Raw genomic sequence first — 20,608 nt, 5'->3', positions numbered from 1 at the left:
AGTAGCTGGGACTAGAGGCGTGCGCCACCATACCCGGCTAATATTTTTGCATTTTTGGTAGAGATGGGGTTTCACCATGTTGGCCAGGATGGTCTCAAACTCCTGACCTCAGGTGATCTGTCTGCCTCGGCCTCCCAAAGTGCTGGGATTACAGGTGTGAGCCACCACACCCAGGCTGCAATGAATATTTTAATTTAGGTATATTAACATGCCCACTGCATCATTAATTCCTCCAGCAGCTTCTACGAGACAGTTAGCTATGGTGCGGATGTTGGCAAAGCCCAATGGAACCACTAACATTTTTGTGGCTAACAGATCCTCCATACTTCACCACTACCAAAAAGCCTACTTTATGAACTGACCAAGAAGATTGCAAACCTTGTACTTTTTCTCCCAACTCTGGGACTTTGCAGAGACTGTTCTCTTCTCCAGGACACCCTTCCACCTTTCCCTCCTGCCTTGCCCCTTCCCGTGCATTAGGTCTCAGCCTGGAGCTTCGTTCGAACTCCTGACCTCAAATGATCCGCCTGCCTCGGCCTCCCAAAGTGTTGGGATTAGAGGCGTGAGCCACTGCGCCTGGCCAAGTCGGGGTGTTTCAATGACCACTGGAAAAACAGTTGTGTAGTTATCACTGCCTATGCATGTGGCAAGGTCAGACACACCAGCATCAAAACGTGTGTCATAGGTGCCAGCAGGAGGAAGAAAATCTCAGAGACAAGAGTAGAGCACCTTGACCCCCAGGGTATGGGACTGATGGCGGGGACAGTGACTCAGGGGGTCACTTAGCAACATTCCCAAAGTGGGAGTCAAAAGCCAGTGCACAAACCCAGCACTGATGGCTTTTAGTTTTTGTGTGGATTCTTCTGAGAAATGCTGCATGGCTCACACTCTTGATAGCATAGAGGACAATAGCTTGTGTAGAAATATTCTAAAAATAAAAAGATTTAGAAGAGGAAGGCTCTGACTGTAAAAAAATTTTAGGGATATCTTAACCAATTTATTTTTCTTCACCTATTTTCCTTTTTATATATTCACAAAAATATGTAAAATTTATATTTAATTAAATCTAAAAGAGTTCTTTCAATAAGCATAAGACAAAAATCCTGAACGATAAGAGAGATTTGTGTTACCACATAATTATTATTTTTCTTTGTTTCTTAGGGAGTGCCTAAAACAATGGTGCCTTCGAGGTGATGAAATACCATCCTTGTTTAGGGTCTTGATTTTCAGCGACAGGGAAGCCGGCTCTGCCTCATTCACAGCTGTATCCCCTGCGGCTGACACAGAGCTGGGACAGAGCAGCCATTCAATAAACATCTGATGAAGTGACTTAAGGTAGCGCCTCTGCCAGGCAAAGGGCCACACCAAATGGCTAACACTCGAGTGAGGAAAGGTATCACAAACTGAGCTTGCCACTTCTGGCATTTGATTCTTTTAGCCTTTAATCCAATATAGTAATCCCACTATTCAGTGTTTCCTGGTGTTGCTTTAAATTAGAAACCCTGCCCTGAGAGCTTGATGAGCTGACAGACACTTCTGTCATCCCTCTGCTTGTCTCTGTTTGCTTCTGTTGTTTTGATTGTGAGTCTGTCGAAACCTGTCAACTCAACTAAAGAAAAAAGAAAGGTGCTATCACAACAGGCTAACAGCTACTACGAAAACTGCATCTCTATCGCAAACTGTGGGGGGTGGGAGTGGGCTGCTCCAGGACAGGAATCCTAGCCTCTCTTTGCTAGGCATCCTAGCCTCTCTGTGACTTTTCCCAGCTTCTTGGCCCGCAGGCTTGAAGATATGTGCCCCAGGCCCCATGGCCTGTTCTGGGCCTGGCAGAAGGGCTCTTTCCACTGCTGGGCCCACACCCCAGCCCCCTCCCTCAGCAGGTGTCTGACACAGCATTATTTCCTCTTCTGGAGAAGACCCAAGTCTCTCAAGCACTTCATCCATGCTGACTCTTTGGAAAGGAGTGCTATTACCAAAGGCTTTGTCAAAGAAAATATGCATGTGTTCATTTGAAAAAAGATGATGAGTATTTCCTGTGTTCCAGGCACCACCTTACGAACTGGACACTCCGTGGTGACCTGAACAGAAAGGTGGCTGCCCCTCTGCAGCTCAGGTCTTGGTAGAGAAGATCTACCATAAACAGGTAATTAAGTGAACAAAGGGATTCTGGCTGGCAAAGTGCTGTAATGAAATCAGAACCGGGAAACAGGATAGAGTGATGGTAGCAGGGTGGTGCAGGGGACTACTTTAGCTGAGGGGCTGACGAAGGCCCTCCTAAGGCAGGAGAGGGGGCAGTCCAGAGGGGAAGCAGAGCACCCTAGACCTGGGTTTGTTTTTGTTTCCTCACTATAAAATACGCAAAATAAGAGTACCTAAATGATAGGGCTATTGTGAGGATTAAATGAGGTGATTCACATCAAATTCATACAATAAGACTTGCTAGTTAGCCACTATCCCAAGGAGGTGACATCTGAGCTAAGGCTTTTTAAAAGAACAGGACATCCAGCAAAGCTCAACTTGAACTACTAACTATTAACTTCAGATAAGACATTTGCAAAAGGGACTTTTGTGAAAACAAAAGCATTCAAATTGAGACAAGTTATGCCAAACATGATTTCTTTTCTTTCTTTGTCTTCTGCCTCCAGTGTAGCTACAAAATGCTGAGAATCAGAGGGTCCCACCAAACTGACTTTAATATCCAATGAAGGGACAGCTGTGTCCTGGACTCTCCACAAATGTTGACGTCATGAAGAACAAGAAAGACTGAAAACCTGTTCCAGATTGAAGGAAATTAGAGATGTGACAACTGAATACACCTTATGATCTGGGATGGGATCCTAGACCCAAGGACATTAGTGGGTCAATGGCAAAATCTGAGTAAGGCTTGTAGATAAGTTAATAGCATTTGTATCATTAATTTCCTGATTTAAGTAACTGTACTGCAATTATGTAAGAAAGGGTCTTTCTTCTTACAAAATGCATGCTGAAGCACTCATGGACAAAAGAGCATGATGTCTGCAACTCACTCTCAAATGGTTCCAAGAAAAAAATAATAGCATGCATACAAATGGAAAACGATCAAACAAATGTAAAATGGTAACAAACGGAGAACCTGGGGCAAGGGGATATGGGGAGTTCTTTGTCCTGTTCTTCAAAAGTTTTTGTAAACCTGGGATTATTTATAAATAAAAAGTTACGGCCCAGGCACAGTGGCTCATGCCTGTAATCCCAGCACTTTGGGAGGCCCAGGCGGGCGTATCATGAGGGAAAGAGATGGAGACCATCCTGGTCAACATGGAGAAACCCCGCCTCTATTAAAAATACAAAAAATTAGCTGGGCATGGTGGCGCGTGACTGTAGTCCCAGCTACTCAGGAGGTGAGGCAAGAGAACCGCTTGAACCCGGGAGGTGGAAGTTGCAGTGAGCCAAGATTGCACCACTGCACTCCAGCCTGGCGACAGAGCGAGACTTTGTCTCAAAAAAAAAAAAAGTTACAAAAATATATAATTAAGAGACTTAAAATCATCTGATACTTCTACAAACACTAAAAAGATAGCACCCAATTCACAAGTACTAGATTAAGCAATGCTAATTTGACCACTTTAATACATATGTTTTTGGGCTGCAGTAGCTCATCTTTAAAGATTCTACTAGGATGCAGTAAGATTTATTTGGCATTCTGATGGTTTGGGGGAATCTGGGGATACTTTATTCATCATCTGTGGAAGGCTAGAAGCAATGCTTCTTTGGAACGTCCTTTCCATCTTTTGCCCCCACCCTGCCATCTGAGAACCACTCTCTGATGTTTTCTTCTGTCTTTATTGTTCCGTTTTTCTCAGCAGAAATTCAAGGACTGCTTCTCTCATTAAATAAGCTATCAAGGAAAAAAGATGTACTCAAAGTGGATGAGATGTCATTGCCATTCTGAGAGGCAGACAGCGTGGCCATCACCTCTCCGAAAGTTAATTCCTAGAAATGAGCAAAGCACCTCTAAAAGGAGAAAATATTAAATGTCTACAGTCTACAATGTTGAAGATTTTTAGCATCTGATTGTAATGGAAAATATTTAATTGGTTGTATTCATTTCTTGTGGCTACTGTAGCAAGCTTACAGATTTGGTGGCTTAGAACAACAGAAATCTATTCTCTCACAGTTCTCAAGGCCAGAAGTCTGAAATCGCTATCATTGGGCTGAAGTCAACGCATCAGCAGGACAGTGCTCCCTCCGGAGACTCTGGGAGAGACTTCCTTGACGCATCGCCACTCTCTGCCTGGCCTTCATGTCACCATCACCTTCTCTGTGTGTCTCTTACAAGGGCACTTGTCATTGGATTTAGGGTCCACCCATATAATCCAGGGTGATCCCCTTATTTCAAGATCCTTAACTTAATTACATGTGAGAAGACGGTTTTTCCAAGTAAGGGAACATTCTCAGGTTCTGGGAAGTAAGATACATATTTTGAGGGGCCATCACTCAACACACTACATCTAGAAAATAATCTTTTATCCTTAAACTACAGTAAGGCAACTATAAGTTACAGTAGTGATCACATCCATAAATTCAGGATATATGTCATCACAAACCTCGTAGACTTCCCGTCAGCACGCAGACCCCCATCAGGCCCAGGGGATGCATGTTATGCTACAGAGTTCTTTCCTCTGCTCAACATGGTAGCCAGAAAACAAGACGCACTGCTTGATAATGGGGACACTGAGGAACCCTTGAAAAACCAATGTCACATTATCAACACAAGGGTCTGTGTTGCCTCTTTCACCTTTCCCAGGTGAAAACAGTATGTGTCACGAAGGCCCCCACTCCAGAAATCAAATATCTGATCTGCAGGAAACTTTTTCTGTGGTTGTGGCCTTACGGCTTTCCAAGGAGTTACAAAAGATGTGGTCGAGTTATTTGTGTTACTGTGACATTTCTTGTAACTCTCCCATAAAAGGCTGCAGAAATAATTTGGCTTCCCATTAACTTTTATTTTCTGTTCAGTAAACATTTTTTTCCCTTCCCTTGTTTCAAATGAGAGTTGAAAAATATAACACAACTCTTTCAGTGGACAGGAAAAAGTAACATCAAAAATCTTATGAGATCTGTAAGGCAGCTGCCTGGCATGGCAGATCCAGGGGCATGCCTGGGCAAGAAAACAAATAAGCCAGGTTTGCAAGCGGAAGGAAGGTGCGGTCAGATTTGTATGTCCCCAAAGTACAACAGCTTAAAGCCTTGGCAGACACCAGATAGATGGGAGGCAATTCTACAATTCAAATGGCTCCTATGGAATACCAGCAGGGACTCCCTTGGTGCCCTGTTCAGATTCCCAGGTTCCCTTTCACCAGGTCTGTGCATCCATCCCCCAGCTACTGCGGGTGCTGCTGCTAACTCATTATGCTTGCAGCCTTCTGCTAGTGATTTCCCTTGGACAACTAGAGCTGTCTGATTCAGAGATCCCTGGGAGTTTATGTACCCTCCTTTCTGGTCTGTAGGCAATGAAAGGTGTACAAAAGCCCAGCTCCCTTGCCTCAAAATAGGGCAATCTTTGTGGTGCAGTTCACTCTCCAGTGTTCCCCATAGAATCAGGCTGAGGCTGGGCTTCTGAAACTCGTCTTTGTCCTGCTCTTTCTACCCTTGCTTACTTTCCTCGCTCAATAAACCAGTTGCACAAGAATCCCCATATCTACTAGTTCTGCTTTTAGGGAAGCTGACTTGAACACTCCCTGTAACGAACCTTGGGAAACACTAAGAAAAATGCTAGTTAAGCAGGTCTTCTTGTTCCCTACTTAGACTCCGCTGGTTCCTAATATGCTAAAGAAATTTGAGTGGGATATGAGAGCAGTGGAACTCTGAACACTGTCCCAACACTAAGTAGAGTCCTTCTCCATGACAGCAGACATGGAAGACCCCTAAAGCCCGCTGGGAGAAGATCACAAGTTGATGTTTGAGAAGCTGAGTTTCAGAACACATGCAAAAATGTTGAAAAGCATGCAACATTGGGTGCAGGTCCTCTACTTCCAGGAGTTGCTCCTTCTCATATTCTTGTACATACACAAGACTATGATATGTACAAGAGTAACCATTACAGCACGGCTAGATAACAAAAGGGAGAAATACCCTAAACGGCTGTCAGTAGGGGACTAGTTAAATAAATATAGTAAATCCATTCTCTGGAATACAATGCAGCTATAAAAAAGGAGGAGAATGCGGACACCTTCTGAATGGATATGGAATTACCTCCAAGTCAGAAAGTTAGGTAATAAAAGTATAGAGCAGTGGGCGTAGGTATGCTCTTATCTGGCACAGGAGGAGAGGCACACACAGAAGTGTGAAATAACTCCTAAAGGTTACACAAGAAACTGGTATCACCAGTAGCCTCCTGTATATTTCCAGAGAGGAAAACTGACAACTGGGGGACTTTTGGTACATTCTGAATCTTGATCGTGTAAACGTTATCTATTCAAAAAAGTAAATACAACTTAACAATGTACAACCATAGTTACTGTTTGCATCAGGATTTTGCTTTGGACTTGCTCCAAGAAAACACCACGGAGAAGAGGCTGACAGCTTGGAGATGGAGTCAGTTTGTATAACTTACAAGATATTTATTTGTTTATTTAATTTTTCAAGAAATGGGTTCTTGCTCTGTCACCCAGGCTGAAGTGCAGTGGCATAGATCATAGGTCACTGCAGCCTTGAACTCCTGGGCTCAAGCAATCTTCATGCCTCAGCCTCTTGAGTAGATAGGCCCACAGGCGCGAGCCACCACACTTGGCTCAGACAAGATATTTAAACTCCCTGCCTCAGTTTCCTCATCTGTAAAGTAGGAATACTAACATCTCATAGGGATATGGTAATGATGAATGAGCTCCTGCATGTAAAACAGGCCACAGGATGCCAAGAGCAATAACTTAACACATGGATTTACTCCACAGGAATCTAATGACATGTGACCACAGCCCAGTGATAAACATGGCCACTGAGCCTGCTGCCCCCTGCACTGCTATTGCTCCATCTTCCCTTGCTAAGGAGCAGCCATCAGAGATCCAGCTTTGATGCAGGATAAAAAGGCTTTTGTGACTGCGTTAGTTATCTACTGCTGCACAACCAATTACCACAAACTTGGCACCTTAACACAACATTCATTTATCTTCTCACAGTTTCCACGGAGCAGGAGTCTGGGGAGAAGTCCACTGTTCAGAGTCTCACAAGACTGCAACAAGAGGTTGGCCAGGCTTGGGGTCCTCTTCCGAGCTCACATGGCTGTTAGTGGCTTTCAGTTTCTTGTAACCATAGGTCTGAAGGCCCGTTTTCTTGCTGGCTGTCAGCTGAGGGCTGCTCTGGCTTCTAGGCATGACCCTTGGATGCTTGTGACATGGCCCCTCACAGGCCCTCTCTCAACAAGGCAGTTCACTTCTTCAGAGCCAGCAGGAGACTCTCTCCCTTTGGGAAGGACCCAGTACTTCTTCTAAGGCTTTTACCTGATGAGGGCAGGCCCACCTGGAGAAAATCTTTTAACTCACAATCAACTCCTTTGGGACTCTAACTGCTTCTGTAACATCCCTTCACCTTGGCATATGACATCCTGCCACCTGTGCCATATTCCATTGGTTAGAAGCAAGTCAGAGATTCCACTCACACTCAAGAGGATGGAATTACACAGGATGTGACTGACTGGGAGTCACCCTCAGGTGTGCATACCATGGTGGGCTAGTGTGGGAGACGGCTTTCCATACATGGAGAGATAGCACACCACGGTGGAAAAAGAAGACTTGCTGGACCTGGGTTCAAATGCTGGCTCCACAACTTAACAGATGTATTCAACTTTGGACAGCTATGTATTTAACTTTTAACCTCTCAGCTTCTGTTCAAGCAAAAGGAGGAAAAACTGAATACTCCACAGAGTCATTAGAAGAGTTAAACAGGCTGGGCGCGGTGGCTCACACCTGTAATCCCAGCACTTTGGGAGGCCAAGGAGGGGGGATTACTTGAGGTCAGGAGTTCGAGCCCAGCCTGGCCAACATGGTGAAACCCCGTTATCTACAAAATTACAAAAATTAGCAGGGCATGGTGGCATGCACCTGTAATCCCAGCTACTCAGGAGGCTGAAGCAAGATAATTGCTTGAACCTGGGAGGTGGAGGTTGCAGTGGGCCGAGATTGAGCCACTGCACTCCAGTCTAGGCAACAGAGTGAGACTCTGTCTCCAAAAAAAAAAAAAAAGAAAAAAAAAGAAAAAAAAAGAAAGAAAGAAAAGATTAAACAAAGGGAAATTGCATGTAAAATCAGCAGACATAATAGAGCAGGAATTGAAACTTTAGATCCTCTCTCTCTTCCCAGTCCTTCCTGGAGGAACTTAGAAATAAAAATGAAGATAATAATAACGTTGGGTAATGTGAAAATGCTTCCTAAAATATGGTGTATACTTAGTCCGTTCAATACCCCAGTGAGGAGTTTTCCCCACTCCAGCTGAATTCATCTCTGGCAAAGGATGAAGTCATCACTAGCACCTGCTGTTATGTCTCATAGCACCTCCTTCTAGATCTGCCACAGCCTGCCCATCAAGGAAGAGCCAAATGAACAAATTATATAGTACGACCAAATAATGGACTGAATGCAGTGATCACAACATCATTTTCAGTGTTTAATGACACAGGAAAATATACACAACATAATGATCATGAAAAAAAGACCCCAAATTGTCCTTTTAAGAGCTCAAGTGGTGGACTTGGACCACCTGGCCCCAAATCCACCTTCAGTATTTATGACTCTGTGCCTCAGTTTCCTCGATGAGTTGGGGATAATGATACGACCCACCTCATAATATTGTTGTGAGGATTAAACAAGGTAACACATATAAAAAACACCTAGCCCGGCCGGCACCATGGCTCATGCCTGCAATCCCAGCACTTTGGGAGGCCGAGGTGAGCTGATTGCTTGAGCCTAGGAGTTCAAGAGTAGCCTTAGCAACACGGCAAAACCGTGTCTCTACAAAAAATTAGACAGGCGTGGTGGCCTGCACCTGTAGCCCCAATTGTTAATACTTGGGAGGCTGAGCCAGGAAGATCGCTTGAGCCCAGGAAGTCAAGACTGCAGTGAGCAGAGATAGCACCACTGCACTCCAGCCTGGGTGGCAAAGTGAGACCCTGTCTCAAAAACAAACAACAAGAACAACAAAAAGCAAAACAAAACAAAACATAAACCACCTAGCCTAGTGGCTGTCACCTAAGGAGGTCAAAGTGCTATTATTTAGTTAAGTACCACTCTCATAACTTAAGAGGAAACGTTTAAAGTGTAGATTTTTTCACAAACAATGTTGAGAGCTGACGCTGGCTTCTCAGGGAATAAGGAAATCTGAAGAGGAAAAAGAGACAAAGTATTCAGAAGTCACGATACAGTAATTCTCTCTGCTTTCCAGAAGGCTCCACTTCACTCTGTACCCAAAAGCATTTAATTAACTTCTCCTTTTCCCCTTCCCATTTATTTCAGAAGGATCTTCATTTTTCTCTTTAAAAAAATGAGTGGCCGGCCATAGTGGCTCACGCCTGTAATCCCAACACTTTGGGAGGCCAAGGTGGGCGGAACACAAGGTCAGGAGTTCGATACCAGCCTGGCCACATGGTGAAACCTGTCTCTAGTAAAAATACAAAAGTTAGCCGGGCGCAGTAGCGGGAGCCTGTAATCCCAGCTACTTGGGAGGCTGAGGCAGGATAATTAATTGCTTGAACCCAGGAGGCGAAGGTTACAGTGAGCCGAGATCATGCCACTGCACTCCAGCCTGGGCGACAAAGTGAGACTCTGTCTCGAAAAATAAAATAAAATAAAATAAACAAAATAGAATAAAATAAAACAAATGAGCATGACACAGCTTTTTTCTGAAGCTTCAGGGCAACCCTTTGGGAGTAGTAAGTGGAAACTGCGGGTTACCGCCTCTCTGGTTATCAATCGGTCTTTCTAACTATCTAAAGTAAACTGGCCGGGCACAGTGGCTGGTGCCTGTAATCCCAGCACTTTGGGAGGCCAAGGCGGGTGGATCACTTGAGGTCAGGAGTTCGAGATCACCTTGGCCAACATGGAGAAACCCCGTCTCTACTAAAAATACAAAAATTAGCTGGGCGTGGTGGCGCGCGCCTGTAGCCCCAGCCACCTGGGAGGCTGAGGTAGGAGAATCATTTTAACCCGGGAGGAGGAGGCTGCAGTGAGCCAAGATTGCACCACTGCACTCCAGTCTGGGCCACAGACTGAAGACTTTTTAGACTCCGTCTCAAAAAAACCAAAACCAAACAAACAAATAAACAAACAAAACCTTTGCTTAAAGTAAACTAAAGAGAGCGGGCTCAGCAGAGGGAGGAGAGTGACTGCCCCAGGAAAAGGAAGAGCCGCGTCACTGCCCTTGCTGATTTAAACACAAGTCAGGTGAGGCGCGTTTTCTGCAGGAGGCTGAGAAGGGCTCTGCTCGCGATTTCCGCCCAGGAGCGCCGGGTGGCTGGAGCAGTGACCGCGTCCCAGCCCCCTTTCCGCTCCGCAGCCCCCGGGCTGCTGCCGGCGCTGGGCTGGAAGCCAGGCCCCTGCCGATCCCAGGAGTCGCCGCGGACGCCGCGAGCCCTGCCAGGGAATGAGCAGCGAGCCCAGGAAACCACTGAGCCAAAGTAGTAACAAAGAAGGCCAGCGTGCGCGGGCGGCGGCCGAGCCAGGCTTCCAGGGCCGCACGCTGGGCCCGGCGCGAGGCAGATGGCAGAGGGGAGGAAACAGATGGCTGTCCAGTGGCGCTGCACAGGAAGCGCCAGGGCTGGCAGGAAGACAGAAGGGCGGCCTTCGCTGCAACGGGAATTTAAATAAATACACCGGCCCACACAGGGAATCCCCTAGGATTCCAGGGTCCTGGCGTGCTTGCGGGGCCGGGGTCTCTAGGGCCCCTGCAGTGCCAGAAAACCTATGGGGCTCACACCGACCCCGAACCCCTCCTCTACCCACTTACGCCCTGGCTGCCTGCAGCCTGGAGGACTTTGGGCTGGTATTTCCATCCCTATCGCCTCACTCGGGCCAGTGATTCCCAGTCGGGCTGTAAGTGGTTATTTGAGGTGTCCTGGATGGGAATTCTTGCCGGTGATTACAAAAGCCTTAAGCTCTGCAGCCTGAATAGGTAAGGCCTTCCGCAAGAGTGGAACTTCCATTCTTCAAATATATGCAGATACTGTGGCCATCACTTAAATACAAGAGCATTTAAAAGCATTTTTGAATTTTCTAGTCTGTCTGTCACTGTTCCTTTTCTAAATCATCAGACACCAAAAATATGATTACAGCTTAAATACTATTACTATCACACTTGGCTCCTTGAAACTCTTGGATGATAAAGGGGCACTCATTAATTTCTAGATGTTAAAAAGTCTAGAGAATTGTTTTATGCCAGCCACCTAAGAAGGGCAAGAGACACTTCATTTCTCTCTCTGGAAAAGGTCAGTGCCAATTATCCTGAAGAAGTATTTACAGATTTGTACACCAGGATTCTCTACATGGAGGTTCATCACAGCCTCCTTTGTATGCAGGTAGAACTGGAAGCTCCCAGAGCCACAGTGTACCATGGTACACACAACCAGGGTACCTCCATGACTGGCTATGACAGCACTGTTAGAAACCAAACTGCAGACGAACAAAATGCACCACATACTAAACAAACAGCAAGAAAAGCATTTACAGCCAGGCATGGTGGGTCACACCTGTAATCCCAGCACTTTGGGAGGCCGAGGCAGGTGGATCACGAAGTCAGGAGATTAAGACCATCCTGGCTAACACGGTGAAACCCCGTCTCTACTAAAAATACAATAATTAGCTGGGCATGGTGGCACATATCTGTAGTCCCAGCTACTCGGGAGGCTAAGGCAGGGGAATCACTTGAACCCGGGAGGTGGAGGTTGCAGTGAGCCCGCGCCACTGCACTCCAGCCTGGGCAACAGAGTGAGACTCCACCTCAAAAAAAAAAAAAAAAGAAGAAGAAGAAAAAAAAAGAAAAGCATTTACAAAATATGTATAGAATCATCCTAGTTTTGTTTAAAGAAAAACACCACCAGCCGGGCAAGGTGGCTCCCGCCTGTAATCCTAGCACTTTGCGAGGCCAAGGCAGGTGGATCACCTGAGGTCAGGGGTTTGAGACCAGCCTGGCCAACATGGAGAAACCCCGTCTCTACTAAAAATACAAAAATTAGCCGGGTGTGGTGGCACATGGCTGTAATCCCAGCTACTTGGGAGGCTAAGGCAGGAAAATCGCTTGGTCCTGGGAGGCAGAGGTTGCAGTGAGCTGAAACCGCACCACTGCACTCCAACCTGGGCAACTGAGACTCTGTCTCAATTAAAAAAGAAAAACAAACCACCACCAAAATTATGTGTATCTACTATAAAATACTTTAGTTTTACTTTTTAATCTTGGGGAAGAGGGAGTGGGTGAGTCTATTTTCTTCTTGTGCTCCCCAAAGTTTCCACAATGAACAAGTATTACTTTTGTTAGGAATAAAGCCAATAACTTATTTTATTATATTTTATTTTTGCATTTGTTTGGTCACTGACAGTAGTTTCTTGTCAGGAATGGGCTGAGGTCAAAGAATCTTGGCAGTGAGGTTCTTTGCTGCTTTTTACTCTCCAACTTCCAGGAAGTAGGACATGGGTGTGCAGACTGCACTTGGGAACCAAACTAGACCCCCTCCTCGCCCTCCGCCATACACATCTAAAGCAGAACATAAAGGGATGGGCCCTTCTGGATGATGCTGGGCTATTCTGTGCTAACAGGTCTATTCACAGCTAGACCAGAGGCTGACATCCCCCACAGCTGAATTCCACTTGGCACCTAACCTGTGAATTCTCAAAGTGAAGCCTGGAATTGCCCAGGCCTCTTAGAGGGTCTCCAGGACCCGCTCTCCTGCCAAGAAACCTTAGTGTACTCCCCCCAGCACCCAGTCTGGGAAGGCTCCTTCAATCTTATTTCAGACAAAACATCCTTTTAGGATATAAAGTATTTTGCACTGTCAAAATTGCACTGTCAAAATTCCAGTTTGCATTACTATTCTGAAATGAATAAGATGTATATGTAATATAACCCTAATCCCTGTGACAACCAAAAAAAAAAAAAAACAAAAGGTTCCATAAAATTCCAAAATAACCCCTAGGGGGCGGTACAGCCCCTAGTTAAGAGTCACCTCATGAATGGTGAGTTGATATGATGCTTTGCTGATTTTTCTTAGACTAAGGACTATATATTCACCAAGATTTGGCAGACCCTGGAGTCTGGTCCCTGCATACCTCCAGTCTCATCCCCAATACTCCCACCCTGTTCTCTCCCCTCCAGCCCTAGAGATACTCCTCCCTCCACTAACAGCCAGGGTCCGTGCTCTTTCTTTTCTTTTTGGGGGGATGGGAGGACAGGGTCTTGTTCTGTCACCTAGGCTGTATGGAGTGCCGTGGCGATCACCACTCACTGCAGCCTAGACCTCCAAGAGATCCTCCCATCTCAACCTCCCGAGTAGCTGGGACTACAGGCACGTGCTACCACACCCATCTAATTTTTGTATTTTTTTGTAGAGACCGGGTTTCACCATGTTGCCCAGGATGGTCTCAAACTCCTGGGCTCAAGCCATCCGCCCGCCTCGGCCTCCCAAACTGCTGAGATTACAGGCATGAGCCACTGCGCCGGCCAACGCTCTTTCTTCTGCTTGTGATGCAATTTCCTCATGCTCACATCAGATGTCCCTTCCTCAGAAACACCCTTCCTAATCCCCAAAAGGTCACACTCCCTAGTATATGCTCTATACCACTGAGTACTTCTCCTTCATAATTTCGAACCTGTTTGTAATTACATATTCATAACCATTTTGATTAATGTTTATTTTCTCTATTTGAGTATAAAGAGGCAGGGGCTCATCTGTCTTCTTTCCACAGTTCCCTAGCACACAGTCGTGATCACCTACTAGTTAGCTGATCACAGTAGGTGATCAACAAATATTTGCCAAATAAATAAATGAACCTCCCAGAAGATATTTAGATTTCCATCATTGCCGCTTGTGAAATACATTCTGATTCTCTGTCCATGTTATGGTTATGTAAACGTCACAGTCTGTTTTTCTGCACAGGCAGAAAGAGTCTATCCTGTTAATAGCTGTATTTCACATAGCGTAAGATTAACAGCATAGCAGATGCTCAGTGGATAAGATGGCACCCATTTCTAAATGTCTGGGGTGGGAAGATTAAGATAATTACCCCAATTCTGGCTCATTTCTTGCTACATCTTTTTCCTTCCCAACCCTAACATACCACTTATCTCTAACTTAAACATATATTGAATAAAGGCACCAAAGGGGTAAATGAGCCACTCCCAACCTGAAAACTTACACTCATCTGTCAAGATGCAATTTAAATATCACCTTTGCCCTCTGATCCTCTTCCATAAGGTGGGCAACTATCAGAACGTTTACCTTCCTGAGCAGCCAATTTTGGTACTTGTTCATCCCCTCAGCTTGTCAGAGGCATCCTAACCAGAGTGACTCCATCTTGAATAAAGGCCGAGAGAAAGCCAAATCTGCTGGATTACATTCCCAGGGGGTTGGGCAGTCTTGGTCACATGATGTTTATGGTTGAGGGAATGAGTTAATAATTTTTTTTTTTTTTTGAGACAGAGTCTCACTTTGTTGCCAGGCTGGAGTGCAATGCTGCGATCTCGGCTCACCGCAACCTCTGCCTCCCGGGTTCAAGAGATTCCCCTGCCTCAGCCTCCCGAGTAGCTGGGACTACAGGCGTGTGCCACCACGCCTGGCTAATATTTTGTATTTTTAGTAGAGATGGGGTTTCACCATGTTAGCCAGGATGGTCTCGATCTCCTGACCTCGTGATCCGCCCACCTCAGCCTCCCAAAGTGCTGGGATTACAGGCGTGAGCCACCACACCCGGCCCGAGTTAATAATATTAACTAACTAAATAAAGACCCAGAACTTACGGAAATGTCCCAGTTCTTCAAGAAGAAAAAGTATTCTTAGTTTAAGAATAGGTTCTGCTTTTAAAATAATGGTACACTCATAAGTTCTTGCTAAAATCAATAATCACATAGGAAAGTAACAATATTAATAGCTTGTCACAAGCTGATCGCAAGCTTTTGTAATAAAGTACACTATTTTTAATAACCTATATAAGCAAGCATTGTATTTGCAATGGGTGCGTTCCTCCTCTTGCTTTCTGAAGAGTCTCTACTCTGTAATTGAGTGGCGTCTAGTAAACTACTTTGACTTCACTATACTCTACAACTTGCCCTGAAGTTTTTTCTGCACGAGATCCAAGAACTGTCTCTTGGGGTCTGGGACAAGACCCCTCTTCCCATGACAAGCTGAACCACAGATTACTTGAGGGCAAGAACTTTGTCACAGTCATCTGATTCTGCACAAATGGAGATGAATGTGGCAGTTATAAATGTCTGCTGAATGAACAAATAGATAGGACGTGTTGGTAGGGCCACAAGCCCCATCCTGGGGTCTCCTTAATCCCACAGCAAGGATATCTAGACCCCTTCAGACCCCAGGGCATCCCTTTCAGCTCAGACCCTTCAGGCACTCAGGGGATGCCTTTCAGCCCAGCTTTTGTGACTCCTGCAGGGGACACTCCTTCTTCTAGGAGTGGATGTGGTGGGAACACCACAGGGATTTCCTGAAGTGTAGCTGTAGCCTCCCCACACCCAGTGGCTGCATGCAGAGCACCTTGCCCCCTCACACTCATCCACAGGTCTACTTACATAATTACATACCAACCAGTTACTTATTTAAAGTATAAATCTCGGTGGTTTTTAATATATTCACAGAGTTGTGCAACATCACCATCACCAATTTTGTTGTTGTTGTTGTTGTTTTTGTGACGGAGTCTCGCTGTGTCACCCAGGTTAGAGTACAGTCACGCAATCTCAGCTCACTGCAACCTCTGCCTCCTGGATTCAAGCAATTCTCCTGCCTCAGCTTCCCCAGTAGCTGGGATTACAGGCACCTGCCACCACATCCAGCTAATTTTTGTATTTTTTAGTAGAGACAGGGCTTCACCATATTGGCCAGGCTGGTCTCGAACTCCTGACCTCAGGTGATCCACCCACCTCAGCCTCCCAAAGTGCTGGGATTACAGGCATGACCCACCGCACCTGGCACCATCACCAATTTTTTGAACATTTTCATCACCCCCTAAAGAAACCCCATACCCCTTACAGCAGTCACGTCCCATTTCCTTTCAACCCCTGCTCCCTGACCTAGGCAACCACTAATCTATTTTTGTGTCTACGCATTTGCCTATTCTGGACATTTCATATAAATGGAATCATATAATGTGGTCTTTTGTGGTTGGCTTTTTTTCACAGCTTAGTGTTTTCATGGTTATCTATATGGTTACACGCATCAGTACTTCATTCTCCCTTTTTATGACTGAATAATATTCAATTGTATGAATGTAGCACTTAGTTTTAGTTGCTGTTTATACATTCATCATTTGATGGGCAACTGTGTTGTTTTCATTTTCTGGTTATTATGAATAATGCTGTTATGAACACATATGAATGTGTAAGTCTTCATGTGGACATCTGTTTTCATTTTCTTGGGTAGAGCTGGGAGTAGAATTGCTGGGTCACATGGTAACTTTTGAGAAACTGCACAGTTTCCCAAAGTGGCTGTACCATTTTGCATTCTCATCAGCACTGTATCAGAGTTCCAATTTCTTCACATCCTCCACATCTTCATCACTTGTTGTTTTCTATTGTTGTCATCTCCGTGGGTGTGAAGTGTTATCTCACTGTGGCTTTTATATCCCTAGAACTATTAACAAGCAACAACTCTGCCAGAGTTATGAGTTTTGGAGATCAGGCCATTAGGCCTGGATCGGTTCCACCACTACTGCTAAGAGCTGTGTGACTTTAGTGTCTCTTTAACTCTTTAGCCCGTTTCCTTATCTATCAAACATGTTACTTCACTGGATTCTTAGAAACATTTAATGAGATTATACACACATGGTATATAGTATGTAATTACTAGAACAATAATAGGGCTAAAAAAAAATAGCTATTAAAAAAAAGAGTCTCATGCAGGCGCAGTGGCTCACCTGTAATCCCAGCACTTGGGGAGGCCGAGGTGGACAGATCCCTTGAATCTCTAAGTTCAAGACCAGTCTGGGCAACATAGCAAAACCCCGTCTGTATCAAAAAATACAAAATTTAGCTGGGCATCGTGGTGGGTGCCTATAGTCCCAGCTACTCGGGAGGCTGAGGTGGGACAATCGCCGAGCCCAGGAGGTTAAGGCTGCAGTAAGCCATGATAACACCACTGTCCTCCAGCCTGGGTGACAGAGCAAGACCCTCTCTGTCTCGCTCAAAAAAAAAAAAGTCATTTAGCCGAGCGCGGCAGCTCACACCTGTAATACCAGCGCTTTGGGAGGCAGAGGCGGGGGCGGATCATGAGGTCAAGAGATCAAGACCATCCTGGCCAACATGGTGAAACCCCATCTCTACTAAAAATACAAAAATTAGCTGGGTGTGGTGGCACGTGCCTGTAGTCCCAGCTACTCGTGAGGCTGAGACAGGAGATTTGATTGAACTCGGGAGGCAGAGGTTGCAGTGAGCTGAGATCGTTCCACTGCACTCCAGCCTGGTGACAGAGCAAGACTCCCTCTCAAGAAAGAAAGAAAAAAAAGAGTGCTTTAAAGTCAAAAGTCAAAACCTGTGACTGTGTCTCTACTCCAAAAAGGAAGACCAAAGAAACTGAATTATCATGGCCAGAGGATTATAAAAATTACACATGTATAAATGACATGTCAAGTACACACATTCACTCAGAAACTCATTTTCTAGTAATGGTGGACCCAGAAGAGGCCAAGACAAGGGAAGTCATTCTCCAGTGGAACAGCCTTTGCAATGATTTCTTAAGACAACGTGTTGGCAGATCTATTGATCAGATCATGATGAAAACATTTCATGAGAAGCTGAGGACAAAAGGGTCAACCTGTTCAGTATGAAACTGAGAAACTGATGGTCAAAATGAGAGACCCATAGAAAGAAAGCCCCAATGGGTGGCATTAATTTAGCTGCTTCTGCCCTTCCCCAATGTTAAAACTTGGCTAAACAAGCATTTTCCAGCAAAGAAGACAAATGAACCTCAAATGCCCAAGCAGAGTCTTAGAAAAGAGGAGAAGTGGGAAAATAGGGAGGAGTTAGATAAGAGGCCCAAGTAGATAGCCCTAACTAGGACTAATACAGCCATCCTGCAAGGGCAACTTTGCTCCCAGAGGGTCTGATCAAACAAGCCTGCAGCAGTGATGGGGAATCCTCCAGGGCAGGTGTAAGACTCCTCAGCATGGTTTTAAGAGGAGCACATAGAGAATAAGCAACCAGATAAAGAAATTATTCAAGTCTTTGTTCTCTTTTTTGGAACAACAGGCCCCACTCTTGCCACTTGCAAATTGGCCCAAGGACCACAGGCCAGAGGCTAGCTGAGGAGCTTAAGATGAGATGGAGATTTCTCATCTCCCAGTATCTTTATTCATCAAAATCATGGACCACATGAAGGCTTCTCATCTCCATTACCTTTTCTTTGTACCTTTTTTTTTTTTTTTTTTTGAGACAGGCCTCCCTCCGTCACGCAGACTAGTGCAGTGGCACAGTTCACTGACCTTCTCAGTTCAATCAATCCTCTCACCTCAGCCTCCCAAGTAACTGGGACTAGAGGCCCATGCCAACCACACAAGGTTTTAAAATTTTTTTTGTAGAGATGGGGTCTCGCTATGTTGCCGAGGTTTCATCTCCATTATGTTTGTGTACCAAACTCATAGACCAACAAGAAGACTTTTCATCCCACAATATCTTTGTCCAGCAAACTCAGGGGCCAAGATGGAGGCTTCTGATCCCATTCTCTGTCTACCAAACTCATCCCTTCCAATGCTCAGGTAGGATATGTCTCACCCCAGCCCATCTTTTAAGGATGGTGAGATGGGCTGGTCTCTTCTATTTGGCTGATCAAATCTCTTAGCCTGGGCCAAAAAATGCCCTGCTCAAACCCAACAATGCTCAGCACCAGATTTTTTTGTACGTTGCTGAAATGGCTCTTCCTAGTTTTTGGTCTATCTAGACACCGTTCTTAGGGAGGCAGGAACTCAGCGCCCCTTCTCTTTAGGTCTGGCCCAAGCAAGACATGAGGGCCACCTCATGCACACTCAGTGTCTGGAATGGCAGTGCTATAGATGCACAGACGTCCTGTGCCCAACCCCCTGGGGCCAGGCCACCTTAGCAGGCCCCAGCTTCTGGGTGTGTGACCTTGTCCAGCCCCACACTCCTTTCCCCACACCTCTTTTTGAAACTTACCGCTCCCCTCCCCACCGTTCTTGGTGCAAACATTACAATGGTGGAGACTCACAAACAGCCCAACCCAGTTTCAAAACACATCATACAAACGGAAAAGTTGTTTCAGATTACAAACTTTTAAAGAAGAAAAAAACGGGAGGGGAGAAAAGAAAAGAGTGGGGAACAAGAGAATCGGCCAGGCAACGTCTGCCCTGGTAGGAGGCCCTTGTGCTGAGTTGGTCACAATCCAAGCCCAGACACTCATCCTGCCTGGCTCCACGGGTGACTCCCATTCAACAGTCTGGCTCCCCTACATGAGTACCAGCCCCTGACAACAGGCCTTTCCCAACTGACCCCCTGCCCTCCAGAGCCCCCTGAGACCCGGGCCCTCCCTCGGAACTTGAGGGCGCAGGGGACCAGGACGGCCGTCTCAACGGTCCCAGTTCTTTTTCCCCACTATGGAACACAAGACCCTCTGACCTCCTCCTTCGAGCGAAACTGCACACAGAGCAGGGAAGCCCTGCCGCGCTGGGTTCGGAGGAAAGAGGAGGCCGTGGACGGGGAAGAGGTCGGGTTTCGCTCCCTCAGCGCCGCCGCCTGGGCGACTCTTCCACCCCCGGCTCGGGTTCGAAGCGGCGCGGCCCAGAGAAGAGGAAGAAAGACGAAAAGGAACTTTGCCCGTGGTTTCAGTCAGTAGGCGGGTCAGGCTTCGCAGGGGGGTGGCCGGAGAAACTTGCGACCCTGGCGACCTGGGTCCGCGGGAGCAAGGGCCGGGGCGGCTCTGGGGACTGAGCTCCAGCGCGGGGGCTGCGGCAGCAACTTTCCCGGAGGAAGCCTGCCGCGAACTTTAGCGACGCGGTGCCCCGCCCGCTGCGCGATGCTCCCTGGGCTCCGGCCGGGTCCAGACGCCCGGCGCGTCCGCTCCCGGACCCCTGCTTTCCCGGGACGCCCTGTAGAACCTCGGCCTCGCGCCCCGCGCTCACTTACCATTTGCGCCACTTTCAGCAGGGCCGCGTGGGTGCGGGGGTAGCTGAGGTCCAGCAGCCCCTCCAAGGGGCTCGCGCTGGGCTGGGCCGCGCCGGCCCCGGGTCCGAGCGCGCTGCCGCTGCTGCACGTGGTGCGGACGAGCCCGGCTCCGTGCGACATTGCGCGGCCCCAGCTCGCTGGCCGCCTCCCCGGGCAGCTGCCCAGGGGCCAGATACAGAGGGCGGGCCGGGGGCGGGCGGGGGCGGGCGCTGGCGAGGGCGGGGCGCCCGGGTCCCTGCCCCGCTGCTGGAGACGC

The 20,608-nt window shown here is 46.7% G+C and overlaps 1 protein-coding gene across 2 annotated transcripts in view, besides 5 other annotated features; it reads right to left on the bottom strand.

Annotated features, from left to right (window-relative positions):
- Positions 1–20,526, bottom strand: part of CMTM7 (CKLF like MARVEL transmembrane domain containing 7) — a 63,676-nt gene extending 43,150 nt beyond the window's left edge. For both annotated transcript variants that reach the window (NM_138410.4, NM_181472.3), the window contains exon 1: positions 20,314–20,526. In NM_138410.4, the coding sequence (NP_612419.1) occupies positions 20,314–20,472 (159 nt within the window). In that variant the 5' untranslated portion in view covers positions 20,473–20,526. The remainder of the gene's footprint in view (positions 1–20,313) is intronic.
- Positions 5,319–5,820: an enhancer, noted in NCBI's record as "NANOG-H3K4me1 hESC enhancer chr3:32448051-32448552 (GRCh37/hg19 assembly coordinates)". NCBI's record gives its function as "activates a minimal SCP1, AML or CMV promoter by ChIP-STARR-seq in primed H9 embryonic stem cells {active_cell/tissue: H9 hESC(primed)}" and the evidence as "EXISTENCE:reporter gene assay evidence [ECO:0000049][PMID:30033119]".
- Positions 9,661–10,528: an enhancer, noted in NCBI's record as "H3K27ac-H3K4me1 hESC enhancer chr3:32443343-32444210 (GRCh37/hg19 assembly coordinates)". NCBI's record gives its function as "activates a minimal SCP1, AML or CMV promoter by ChIP-STARR-seq in naive H9 embryonic stem cells {active_cell/tissue: H9 hESC(naive)}" and the evidence as "EXISTENCE:reporter gene assay evidence [ECO:0000049][PMID:30033119]".
- Positions 9,661–10,570: a biological region, named in NCBI's record as "H3K27ac-H3K4me1 hESC enhancer GRCh37_chr3:32443343-32444210".
- Positions 10,391–10,570: a silencer, noted in NCBI's record as "silent region_14168". NCBI's record gives its function as "represses an Ori minimal core promoter by ATAC-STARR-seq in GM12878 lymphoblastoid cells {active_cell/tissue: GM12878}" and the evidence as "EXISTENCE:reporter gene assay evidence [ECO:0000049][PMID:35858748]".
- Positions 10,529–11,398: an enhancer, noted in NCBI's record as "H3K27ac-H3K4me1 hESC enhancer chr3:32442473-32443342 (GRCh37/hg19 assembly coordinates)". NCBI's record gives its function as "activates a minimal SCP1, AML or CMV promoter by ChIP-STARR-seq in naive and primed H9 embryonic stem cells {active_cell/tissue: H9 hESC(naive and primed)}" and the evidence as "EXISTENCE:reporter gene assay evidence [ECO:0000049][PMID:30033119]".
- Positions 20,527–20,608: the final 82 nt, after the last annotated feature.

Source organism: Homo sapiens, chromosome 3 (genome assembly GCF_000001405.40).
Source record: "Homo sapiens chromosome 3, GRCh38.p14 Primary Assembly".
Lineage (NCBI taxonomy): Eukaryota > Metazoa > Chordata > Mammalia > Primates > Hominidae > Homo > Homo sapiens.
Note: the sequence above shows the minus strand (reverse complement) of the source record. Positions and strands in the feature narration are given on the sequence as shown.